We start from the raw sequence: 13810 nt of genomic DNA on the forward strand, positions 1-13810 counted from the left end.
TTAGAATCTCTTTTTGGAAATGTCTGAAATATTAACAAGTTTTGAAACTCATCAACTAATGCACTCTGAAATGTATTTAGAAGTAATTATAATTTTTTACCATATGCTTATTGTATATATAAAATGATTATATAAAATGAAAATTTGCTATTTATTTGTTTGTCAACTTAATAATATATACTTATTTATATATTAAGCTTACATTTTTGTATTATATATTATTTGCTTATTTATTACATATATTTATTTAGTGTTTGTTTAGGGGTTGTAAAATCGGCATCTGTTTATAGAAGATGATGGACTCAATTATCTTTAGCTCCTTTTGTGGCCTAAGGATTCTGTTTATTTTCTTAGAACCTTGTCCCTAGCTTCTTATTGTTCTTATTTCTAAGCTAAAATGATGGGATTAAATTGGCCAGAAACTTTTAGCTCATTTGGAAAATTTTGATAACTGGATGCTTTTAAGTTGTAAAAATGTACACTTCCATATAAGAGTAAAAGTGTTGGAAGTTTTTCAAATTGAACATTGATTATGTAATTGAGAATGCTTGCCATAACATTTTTATAAAATTGCATGCTTTTTATTTTAATAGTAAGAATCTAGATTTTGGCCACGTCTTCTGTTTGTCATGGGGATTTAGAGCATTCTAAATCTAAATTTAAGGAATATACTCCTAAAGAGAGCAAAAAGAGTTAGCAAAATAAATTCTTAAAAATCCACAACAGCAATGCAGAAAGAGTATTTTGAAGAAGTGCTGTTATACGGGAGAAAAAGTGTTGTAGGCAGTGCTTTGAAGAAGTGAAATGTAAGCAGTTGTTTCTGCCTTTTTATAAACATTTGCCTCACACTGGAGATGTAACTCAGGAAGGGGTGTGCAGAGCCACTTAAGAAACAGATGGCTATCCTAATAGCTATCCTGGGGATGGGCTGGATTTAGGAAACATAAAAGCTGCAGAGAAGGGCCTGGTAGAGCTCTATTTTGGGTCTACAAAGTAAATGCTAAACTATGTAGTGAATCACAGGCTTTTGGATGGCCAATAAAGGCAGTTGAAATCATAGACTTGGAATTAGTAAGACCTAGTGGATAGAAGAGAGAATAGCTAGGGTCTATTTTTTCCCCGCTCTGGAACAATAAGTATTTAATGGGATAGCTGAGTTTTATTATTCCTTTCTGGAACAAGGAAGTTATAATGTGCGGATTCCTAAGTTTGTCCGTCTAAAACATTTGGATTAAATGCTTCCTATAATATAAAGGCATTGTAGAAGTTTAGAGTAATGTGAACATGAGAAAATGCCAGAATTATAGAGCTGGAAGACATTGGAGATTCTAGTGCAAATGCCTTCATCCAATGGAGGCCTAAAATATCAAGGCCATTCTGCAAGTGGTAGAGTTGGGGCTAACGCTCAAGTTATTTTCTCTGTTACATCTTACTGTTTCTTTTGCAAACAGAGGAAATGATGACCAGAAAATATGAAACACCTGTATTATTATATATCAATGTAGACAAAAGGGTGTTATAACTTTGTGGCCAGTTTCCTGGAGTTAATGAAGGAAATAATTTCCTTCAATGAACTTATATTATAGGTAGTAAAAAGGGCATTAAAAAAGAGTGTTATAACTTTATGGCCAGTTTCCTGAAGTTAATGAAGGAAATTATTTCCTTCAATGAACTTACATTATAGGCATTAAACAAAGTCAGGAGAATATGAAGGCTATATGTTTGCCTCTGAACATCATATAATCAATGATATCTGGGAGCATATCAGAGTGAAGAGACTAAGGGTATAAGCTTTGGAACTAAATGGATCTACTTAGGTTCAAGGCCTGGTTCTAGCTTGGTTCAAGAACTTTCTAATTTGGCTGGCTTTGGCAATTTAACCGTTTTTGCTGAATGAAATGGGTAATAATAAAGACACTTATCTCATTTGTTAATCATTAGATGAGTAAATATATGTAGTGTCTGGCATAGAGTAGCTAGCACATTATAAGTTCAAAAATGCTAGTTATTATTATGGTCTTAATTTTTAAAAATCCCATAAAGAAGACAAAACAAGACAAAATAAAGCAAGCAAACAAAGAAATAAATAAGAGCAATTCAGGTATAGTATGATATATGCTATGGTAGAGAATTACAGGATCATAGAGGAGAGGCATTTTAACACAGGCCTGGAGCAAGGGATTCAAAACTCGAATCGTGATCTACATGTATTTTAATTGATTCATCTTCTAATGTTTACCTCATCAAACCCACTCCATTGGCCTCAAATCTTTATCTCTTCCGGTATTTCTTATCTCAGTGTTTGTTTACGTCAGAAACATAAAGCTCATGCTAGACATATTGCATTTCTTACTTCCTGACTTAAAACCTTTCAGCAGGGCTAATAGTGTTTGGGCAGAGGCTAAACTCTTTATCCTAGTAATCACAGCCTGTCAATTACCATAGTCTCAGGTTTCATTATTCTCCATACATATTGTCTTAAGTCCATTCATTCAAATCTTTTGCTGTTTCGATTCATGGTATTCTTTCAGCAGGCTATGTTTTGTAGGCTGGACTTCCTGAAGTATAATTTTTGGTCTTCCTGATTCTTCTCTCACTTTCTCCTATCTACTCTCTTATGATTTTTCCTCCTCATCAGAGAAATATTGCAGAGAAAGAAGTGAATGTTTTGGGGGATGGTATTAGAAGGAAACCAGACTACCCTTCAAAAAAGTCATCCCTCCCTATTGGAAGATTTATTGACAAAGGGGAAATAAAGACTAGTTTGTGTCCTGTAATTACATTGCTGATTGTGTCATGAATTCATGCACAAAAGTATATTTTAGTTTTTGGAAGGAAGGAGATGGTGCAAATGAATTAGAGGGTTAGAGGCAGAGTGAAAGAGTTGGAAAGTGGCAAAAGGGCACTAGGAGTTGAGTATTTAGCAGAAATCTTGTGTCAACAGCTCTCTAAGACAAACAACCAAAGAAAATTCCTGTATAAGATAGATACAAAATAATATTGGATAAAATAAAATAAAAACATTGGTGTTCCAACTTATTTCCCCACCTTCAATCATTGAATATATTTAAGAAATACAATATCTATTTTTTTCCACATATATATAAAACTGATTATCAAATGGCTTATTGATTACAGTACTTATGAGTAGTTTCATCAGTTTTCAAAATGCTAATATTAAACAAGCTTGAGCTATCATCTGGAGAATCTAAAATACGTGATGATGATACATTCCTGTGAAGAAATCATGTTGTATAACCATAATATCTATGCTGTGACATCTTCTATACATCCCCAAATCTGCATAAAAGGAGACCCAGCTCTATAACATTTTGAAAGAACTAGTCAAATCAGGCTGAGTGTGGTGGCTCACGCCTGTAACCCCAGCACTTTGGGAGGCCAAGGCAGGCAGATCATGAGGTCAGGAGATTAAGACCATCCTGGCCAACATGGTGAAACCCCATCTCTACAAAAAATACAAAAATTAGCTGGGCATGGTGGTGCTTGCCTGTAGTCCCAGCTACTTGGGAGGCTGAGGCAGGAGAATTACTTGAACCTGGGAGGTGGAGGTTGCAGCGAGCTGAGATGGCACCACTCCACACTCCAGCCTGGGTGACAGAGCGAGACTCCATCTCAAAAAAAAAAAAAAAAAAAAGTCAAATCAAAGCCAAAATGAGACCACTTGCTTTACATATTGTAGATGAGAAAACCAAACTAGTTGACTGAAATCTGCTTTACCAAATGGTGGAGGTAGCAGCATTGCAATCATTACATCTTGGCCCTGGGTCATGGCACTGGCTGCACTGCCCTCTGGTCACCTTCCACACAGGAGGTGGCTCCTGCTAGAGGTTCCCAAGGTTTACACCTTCACTCACCATCTGTTGTGACTTATTCACTGCTGTCCTCTTGGGTCCTGAGCTCTTCCTCATTTTCTTTATACTTGTCCCTTGAATGTGGCAACTGCCGTGCCTCTTCTAAAACTGAACCTCAATGTCTTCTCTGAATCAGAATCTGTATTTGCTCTGTGACAGTCTGTCATTGCATCCAGGCTAGGCCTGAGCCCCATAACCATGTTGGGGTGCCAGGGAATCCTAGAATTCCCTATTGTTGTTGTTGTTGTTTTTGAGACAGAGTCTTGTTCTGTCACCCAGGCTGGAGTGCAGTGGAGCAATCTCGGCTCACTGCAACCTCTGCCTGCCGGGTTCAAGCGATTCTCCTGCCTCAGCCTCCCAAGTAGCTGAGACTACAGGCACGTGCCACCATGGCCTGCTAATTTTTGTATTTTTAGTAGAGAAGAGGTTTCACCATGTTGACCCGGATGGTCTCAATCTCTTGACCTCGTGATCCACCCGCCTTGGCCTCCCAAAGTGCTGGGATTACGGGCGTGAGCCACCGCACCCAGCCTCTGATTGTTTCATACTTTGTGTAAGCCATTCACTGGCCTTTCTCATTTGAGCTTCTCCTATACTCTTATAGCATACCTTGTACACTGGCACCAAAACCCTACACATACACACACACACACACACACACACACACACACACACACACACTCTGTCTTTTTAAAAAATATTCTTTTTGTAAACTTTTTCTTCAAGCTGTTCCTTCTGTCTGGAAAACTTCTGCCCAACAAATAATTTCTACTGATTAATTGATCAAAGGCCATCTTTCTGTGAATCCTTCCTGGATTCCCTCAGTTGAATGTGTATATGCTATGTTCCTACTGAGAGGTGAAGCGAGCTGGACTTCCTGGGTCGACTGGGGACTTGGAGAACTTTTATGTCTACCTAGAGGATTGTAAATGCACCATTCAGTGCTCTGTGTCTAGCTAAAGGATTGTAAAAGCACCAATCAGCACTCTGTAAAAACGCACCAATCAGCACTCTGCGTCTAGCTAAAGGATTGTAAACGCACCAATCAGTACTCTGTAAAATGGACCAATCAGCAATCTGTAAAGTGGACCAATCAGCGCTCTGTAAAATGGACCAATCAGCTGGATGTGGGCGGGGCCAAATAAGGGAATAAAAGCTGACCACTGGAGCCAGCAACAGCAACCCGCTGGGGTGCCCTTCCACCTCGTGGGGGCTTTGTTGTTTCATTCATCACAATAAATCTTGCTGTTGCTCACTGTTTGGGTCCACACTACCTTTATGAGCTGTAACACTCCCAGCGAGTGGGTCTGTGGCTTCATTCCTGAAGTCAAGGAGCCCATGAACCCTCTGGGAGGAGCAAACAACTCTGGATGTGCCACCTTTTAGAGCTGTAACCCTCACTGGAAGGTCCACAGCTTCATTCTTGAAGTCAGCGAGACCATGAACCCACCGGAAGGAAGAAACTCCGGATCACATCTGAACATCTGAAGGAACAAACTCTGGACACACCATCTTTAAGAGCTGTAACACTCACTGTGAAGGTCTGCGGCTTCATTCTTGAAGTCAGCCAGACCAAGAACCCATTGGAAGGAATAAATTCCGGACCCACCACCACCCGTCCATGAGTCTCATCTCCCATGGCACAGCATATGGATCTCTATTATCGTGTTTCTGAGAGGCTGCTTTGTAACATTTTCATGATTGTGTTATGATTGTAGGTGTCTGACTCCCTAACCAAGATATGATTCTGAAGGGCTGAGAGTATGCCATTCATTTTTGTGTCCCCATAGAACCTGACATAGTGCTTTGAAGGCCACTGTCATCTGGAAAATATCCGTGGAATTTATACAAGCAGGGAACAAAATATGGCTAATTAATCCAGTTGGATGATTGATGTTAACAGACATTAGTTGCTGAACAGTGGGTACTCAGAGAGGTGTGGGCGGCTATTTTAAACCTGTATTTTAGAACATTGATTTCCGATTTTTTTTTTTTTTTTTTTTTGAGACAGAGTCTCATTCTGTCGCCTAGGCTGTAGTGCAGTGGTGTGATCTCGGCTCACTGCAAGCTCCACTTCCCGCGTTCACACCATTTTCCTGCCTCAGCCTCCCGAGTGGCTGGGGCTACAGGTGCCCACCACCACGCCTGGCTAATTTTTTTCTACTTTTTAGTAGAGATGGGGTTTCACCGTGTTAGCCAGGATGGTTTCGATCTCCTGACCTTGTGATCCGCCCACCTTGGCCTCCCAAAGTGCTGGGATTACAGGCGCGAGCCACCGCGCCTAGCCGGTTTCAGATGTTTTGAGGCAGACTGCTAGAATTATTATGGCTTATAATTCAGGCACATAGTTTAAAAATTTATTATCACGTCCTCTCTTTTTGTCTTAATATTAAAGATTTCAAATTCTAACAAAATAGCCTTCTCATCATTCAAACATACTTGTGTTTTTTATTCTTTAAAATTAACATTCATAAGATATTATTTGAGTATAATTTTACATCTTCAAACACTTTAAAACTATGAAGCTGGAAATCATTTCCCCAGGGAAAAGTGAAATGGTATTCTTTGTGACTGCTTCAAAATCTAGGGCCCAATGAGTTAGTAGATTCTAAACTTGGCAAGCCAATGTCTACTATTCCTAGTGGGAAATATTTTGGTTTTAACTTCCTTTGGATAATCTCCCAAGCTCAATGGGAAATAAACATACTCCAAGAATCAAGGCTCCTTTTAGAAATTCAATTTAAATTTTTTTTCAGGGATTCTGGCTCTGGCTCATTTTAACTTTTTTCCCCTCGTAATCAACATTTCATCCTTTTCTTGTCTGCTGCCAAAACCAGCCTTTTCCTGGGCTCCTAGAAATTTGAAACATTTTGGCAGGCTAAAGAGGAAAATGGGTGGGAGAAACTCTCAAAGAGGGTAAATGAGTAATGATGTTTCCACTTCCCAATATTCTAGGCCAGATTGTTTTTCTATGTGGGGGAAGAAAACCTCTGGAATCACTTCAAGTACTCCATAGGGATTCATAGAGCTGGACTTGTAGGGCTGGACTCACTAAATCAACAAATATTTAGCATGTTCTGGGAGCTTTAGTGCATATCAAACTTTTAAAAACTCAGTCCATACTCTTAAAAAGCTTAGATTGAGTTGCTGAGATAAAATGCTTGCCCTGTTTAATGGCAATATAACAAAAGAAATTACCTCTGAAAAGTACATGGTCAGTTGTCAGATGCATGGTAAAGACAGTAAAAGAAGAACTTGGAGAATGAGGGGATATTTGTAGACTTCATGGTAACATGAGGGTGATCTTAATTTCCAGAGTCCTTGGAGAGGAAATTGAAGTGTTAGACTTATCACAGAAGATGGGTATTTTGCTGGGTTTTGGAGGATTAGTAATAACCATTATTTTTTCTACCCATAAAGTGTTCAACACTGAGTTACTTGCTTTGCATGTATTCACTTTAGTTCTAACACTGTGCAACGTGGGTCTTACGGGATTTTATTAATGTTTCTCTTTTGTTGGGCTGGAAGTTCCATGATGACAGAGATGCATTTGTCTGCCTTTGGTCGCCCTTGCATCCTTAAGCGTAGTACAGTCTTTGGCAGATGGGAAGTACCTAATAATTATCTGTGGAGTACAGATGAGGGTCTGAGACTGAGGGTCTGAGGTGAACTAACTTGCCCAAGGTCACAGTGCCAATCAATGGCAAAGCTAGCATTTGCATCTTAGTCTATGTGGTTGCAAATCCTAAGGCCTCTTGTGGTGTAATGCTCTGAAGTGAGGGATAAGATTTAAATATCTGGAGAAAAATGAGATGGACAAGTGAGGTTGGAAAATAAGCACAAAGAAGATTATGGAGATAATAAAGGCTGATTTAGCTATGGGAGATTTAGGAAAACTAGAAAAACAAGTTGGAGTCAGAATATGTAAAACTGTATATTAGGCTCAAAACTTTCCATTTTTCTTTCAGTTAATGGAAAATAATAAAAAGTTTTTGTTTTAATTAGAGAAACATATGACAAAAATAACGTTTTAAGCAGATTTATGCAGCAGCTGTGCAAAGGAGGCTTTGGAAGGAGGAGCAGCTGAAGTCTGAGGCCAGTGAGGAGACTGTTGCAGTACTCTTGGCAGAAAGTCATGGTTTCGTGGTCAAGGATAACTGGGGCTCTCTTATAGGGAAATGGGTCCTTCATCGGATTAGTGAAAATGGAAATAGTTGGGGTAGGCAAGAGATAATTTGAAGAAAAGATCTTCAGGTGTTCATGACAAGGTATGGACACTTAAAACAATAGAAAATTTAAGGACAACTGGTTGTCGTGAGCCTGTGTAATTGGGCAAATAATAGCACTGTTGAGACGGTAGAAAGAAATCTTCTAGCAGATTTCAGTTTTAAACCTGTTACAATGGGATCATGAATGGCATGTCTAATAGGAATAAATTTCATTGCTCAGGACTGGTACTAAAATTAGACGTCAGAAATATGATAGAGTTATAGAGCCAAGGCATAGAGGAAATTACTGAAACCGTAGTAGTGGATGAGGAGAAGCAAGGAGTGTTGTTAAAGATAAGCTCTATTTAACAAAAATTTAATTGCTTCTTTTAGTAAAGTTTGTATTTAAATATAGCATAGTACGATGTACAAATTTTAAGCAAAATTTTAGAAAGTGATGCAGTCACATAACCCAGAAAATTATGATGTAGACTATTACCACCATCTTAGAAGTTTTTCTCATAATTCTCTTCCTGCAAAGATAGCCACTATTCTGATCTCTGTCACTAGAGATGATTTGGAACCTTACATACTTGAAGTTGTCTAGCATCTACCCCTTCACGTCTGTCTTCTTTGCTCAGTTTTATGGCTGTGAGATGTTATCTTTTCTAATTTGACACATGGGCTATTCAGAATGTGTTGCTTAATTTTAACAAATTTAGAAATTTTCTAATTTGCTTTCTGTTATTGATTTTAGCTTAATCCCACAGAAACCAGAAAACGTTCTTGGTATTATTTCAATCCTTTGAAATTTGCTACGACTTGCTTTATGGCCTAGAAAATTTTCTATTTTGGTAAATGTTCCATTGCTTTGGAAAAGAATATGGACTCTGGAATGTTGAATACAGTGTTGTATAAATGTCAATTAAGTCAAGTTTGTTCATCATAGTGTTCAGACCTTCTACAATGCTTCTTTAATGCCTTTTTTGTTCTTTCAGTTAATGAGAGGAGTATGTTACATTTTCCCACTATCATCATGAATTTGTTTAGTTCTTCTGTTAGTTCTGTCTCTTTTTTTCTTTATTGATTTGGAAGCTTGTCAGGGGCAGATATATTTAGACTTGTTATATCTTTCTGTTAAAATGAGATTTTTCTAGTACAAAATATATCTACTGATCTTTAGTATCATTTCTTAAAGTTTGCTTTTTCTAATATCGTTATGGCTCTACAATTTCCTTTTCATTGGAGTTTTGTGATAAGGTATTTTTTCTTTCCTTTTATCCTATTCTATATCCTTATACATAAAGATATCTATTAAATCTTAAATTATAGTCGTAGTTGGGGAAGCTAACATTTAAGGAGGAGGAGCAGGCAAAGATAGGAAAGAGGCAGAAGATAGAAAGAAAAAGAGACAGAGGAGTAGGAGAATAGGCTAGAAAGGAATTCATGAAACTACGAAATAATAATTTCAAGGAGGATGGATGATGAAGCCTGCACTGCTGTTTTAGCAGAGGCACATGTCAAGTGCTGTAGAGATAGATACTAGGTCAAATAGACACAAAGGAAAGCCCATTAGGTAGCAGTCATGCATTCATTCATTATTTTTTGAGTAATCTTATAGTAGATAACAGGAAGCAGGTTTAAAAAGATAGTGACAAGAAAATAGAAGGAGCAGGTTGAGACATATTATTTATGAAATTTGGCTGTAGAGAGAGTCATACTGTGCTTTTATTTTCTGTAGAAAGCACTCTACCACTTTAGACCTAATAGGGCCGCATTCTTCGCCTTTCTAATAAGTTATTCAAGCATTCACCTGCCTTTTTAGTAGGTACTTCGGTTCTTCCTTCCAAGTCAACACCCTCCTCTTCAATTATACAGGACTCCCATGGGCTAACACAATCCATGCAGGGTGTCGGTCTACCCTGAGCAGTATGAACAATCAAGTGCCACTGCTGTCTCTGACCCACAGGGTCGGGGGTGGAAGCTGCATCCTGCACTGTGTGACTTCCAGGGAGGGCTCCCTACTGGGATGGTACTTGGCTGGTTCATCCCTGATTCCACTTGTTTCCCTCTTCCCCCAAAGATAAAACAATTTTCTGTTTTGCTTCAGAACACAAAGTATATGGTTAAATAAATTATGATTCAGCCATCCAAAGGAATTGTTTGCATCTGCAAAGAAAAAGAAATAGAATGAGCAAGCTGACTATTGACCTAGAAAGACCTCCAAGACATACTGGTACTGAAAAAAGGGAAGGTGCAGAACAATGGGTATAGAATGCCATGCTTTCCCTGGATAAGGGGATTACTTGCCGACATTTCTAAAGGAGGTTGCCCTGGGTGATCTCGCACATCTGTTCCTCCCCTTCTGAGGGGGATTCCCGTAGTGATTCTAGGATATGCACACATTGCTGGTTAGAAGAAGTCAGTAGACTTCAGTCATCTCAACTTGGTGTTCCGATACCTCTTTTCATAGAGAAGAGAGAAATAGAAATAGAGAGAAATAGAAATTGTGTCCTGTAGCCATCCTTTTGCTAGGTGGCTATAATCTGCAAATATATTTTAAAGCTATGTCAGCTTGTGCCTACTTGAGTGCAGATGAGATTTATGAAACACATATAAAATGCTGTAAGGATAATTGGATAGGTTCTTGGAAAAAGTGAGGGGAGTTAGTTTTGAAGGAGAGGACAGACAACTCTTTATTCAAAACAGAAAGCAAAGAAGACTCACTCAGACCAAATGCAGCAGGTCCTTGAATAACATCGTTTCATTCGACTTGTCTCCTTATAACCTGGATGAGAAAAACAAAATTAATTCCCATCTGGGGCCACTATCTGTGTGGAATTGACACATTCTCCCCATGTCTGTGTGGGTTTCCTGTCATATTCCAAAGCTGGGCACATTGGGTGAATTGGCATGTCTAAGTGGTCCCAGTCTGAGTGAGTGTGGTTGTTAGTGGGAGTGTGCCCTGCAATGCAATGGCATCATGTTTAGGCCTGGTTCCCTGCTTAACTGCAGGGAAGAGGTTAAGCAGGAGAGAGCTGGGAGAGGCTCCAGCCACCCTCCACCCTGAACTGGAATAAGTAGGTTGAAAAATGAATGAATGAATACAAATTATTGTAAAATACCAATTTGTAAAGTGGACAATAATCGTACAAATACATGACAATAAACAACAAGGCAGGAAATCCCTCAGCGAGTCCACAAGATTTGTGATTCTTTTTGAACTTTGTGGTGGGTAGTAGGTGTTCCTGACAATTTTTGCTTTGCAAATTTTTGTTCCTTAATTTAACCCACCTGCACTATGACCACAGTCACTCACTGACTCACCAAAAATGGGGTAAATAATTATTTTGCCTGTTTTTATTCATCTTTCTTAAATGTAGCTTTCATTTATTTCCATGTTTAATATTAGAAGTGTTTTGGGTTTTATTTAGAAGCGGCATAATGTTTTTGTGACCAGAACTATGACCTAGGATTTGCTGTCTTTTATATCAATTAGCCTATAGTAAAATTGGTTTTGTTGTACATCGTTTCACTTAAAAGTTGACATTTCCAAAACTTTACATGAGGACTCACTGTATTTAAAGTACACAAGGATGAATGGAAAATTCAGAGTTGATGATCTTAATTTTAGTACTTTTTTTTCTTTTTCCTTTTCTTTTTTTTTTCAAGAGAGGGTCTTTCTCTGTCTGAAATTTTAAATTTCAGCCTCAACCTCTTGGGCTCAAGTGATCCTCCCACCTTGGCCTCCTGAGTAGCTGGGACTACAGGAATGCACCACCATGCCCAGCTAATTTTTCTTTTTCTTTGTAGAGATTAGGTCTCCCTATATTGCCCAGGCTGGTCTTGAACTCCTGGGCTCAAGCGATCCTCCTGCCTCAGTCTCTCAAAGTGATGGGATTACGAGTGCAAGCCACTGCTCCCAGCCTTGATTTTCTTAATAGAAGGTTACTAGCTAGCAAAGCATTTAGTTGTGATTTCTCTCTTGACACTAGCATAGAAAAAGAATAAATGATGTGCCTAAGTCTATACAGTAACTAAATACTCCAAACAAACATTAGAACTTGTCCACAAATTTATTTTTGTTTTTATTATGTAAAAATTTTAGAAAAATAAATGAATAGAGTGATTAACCTTCGCTGATTCATCACTCAGTTTCAACAATTATAAGCATGAAAATGAGTGTGGTTCACCTATACACATTTTTGCAGATTATTTTGCAACTAATCCCAGGCATCATATTATTTTATCCTTAAGTAATTTCAAATGGGATAAAGGAAAGAAACTGTACTAAGGAGTACATTCAACTCTGTAGCCACAAATTAAAAAATTTGAATTTAACAGATGATTTCTATCAAAATACAAATTATCAAAAATTGATCCAAGAAAATAATACAATACTCAAAGTAATTTCCTTAGAAGATACAGGAATATCATTAAAAATTTCATCAAGACCAGATGGTCTTACCACTAAATTTTATGTGCAAAGTTAAAAAATGTTTAAACCATATATTGTGTTGTGTTACTTAAAAATCTCCCAGGACGTAGAAAAAGAAGAAAATTTCTCTAATTAATTTAATTAAGATATTTATGACAAAAATGAGAAATAATTGATATAAGCATCAGAAAGAAAGAAATTAAATTTTCTTTGTGCTGATGATACAAATTCAAGATGTTATGTTTAAAAATTTTAAAGTTAATACAAAAATTTAATAAGTTGCATAGCACAATATAAATCTACAAAAATCAATAGACTTTCTCTACTAGCTATACACACCTAGAGTTGGAATATAAAAAATTGTATTAAAATATAGATGAGCCAGGCGCAGTGGCTCACACCTGTAATCCCAACACTTTGGGAGGCCGAAGCGGGCGGATCACCTGAGGTCAGGAGTTCAAGACCAGCCTGACCAACATGAAGAAACCCCATCTCTACTAAAAATACAAAATTAGCTAGATGTGGTGGCCCATGCCTGTAAACCCAGCTACTCAGAAGGCTGAGGCAGGAGAATTGCTTGAATCCGGGAGGCAGAGGTTGTGATGAGCCAAGATTGTGCCATTGCACTCCAGCCTGGGCAACAAGAGCAAAACTCCATCTCAAATAAAAAAAAAAAAAAAAAAGAAAAAATATATAGATGAATACCATATAATAGATTTAACAAGAGAAGCACGGGATATATATGAAGAAACTATCACATCTTATTGACTTATGAAAGATGTAAAAAAAAAAGATCCAAACAAATGAAAAGACACTGTATTCTTGAATGGAAAGACTTAACATAAACAACAACAAATTTACAATTAGAAAATATACAATTCAATAGAAAAGACGCAAACAATATGAAAAATTTAATAGATGAGTAAACTCAATCAATGTAGGAAATGGGTACTCATGAATGACTGGTAGATATATGAACTGTTACAGCATTTGGGACAATATATTTAGTGGAACCTCTTAAATTTAGACACACACATACCTTTCATTTTAGCAATTTCACACCTGTGAATTCAGCCCACAGAAATAAAAAATATTCATAAAAGACCAGTATATATGATATAGGAACAAGATATTTGTAGTGAGCCTGCTTGAAATGGCTAAAAAAGAAAGAAAAGTGTATTAGTCTGTTCTCTCACTGCTAATAAAGACATACCTGAGACTGGGTAATTTATAAAGTAAAGAGGTTTAATGGACTCAAAGTTCCACATGGCTGGGGAGGCCTCACAATCATG

At 37.7% G+C, this 13810-nt stretch overlaps 1 long non-coding RNA gene across 1 annotated transcript; it reads right to left on the bottom strand.

Annotated features, from left to right (window-relative positions):
* Positions 1–6300: 6300 nt before the first annotated feature.
* Positions 6301–10877, bottom strand: LOC124901594 (uncharacterized). Its single transcript, XR_007060229.1, has 2 exons — positions 10808–10877; positions 6301–10249 (listed from the first exon to the last, which is right to left on the bottom strand). It is a non-coding gene; the product is annotated as an uncharacterized LOC124901594 (long non-coding RNA).
* Between the last annotated feature and the right edge of the window lie 2933 nt (positions 10878–13810).

Source organism: Homo sapiens, chromosome 7 (assembly GCF_000001405.40).
Source record: "Homo sapiens chromosome 7, GRCh38.p14 Primary Assembly".
In the NCBI taxonomy this organism is placed as follows: Eukaryota; Metazoa; Chordata; class Mammalia; order Primates; family Hominidae; genus Homo; species Homo sapiens.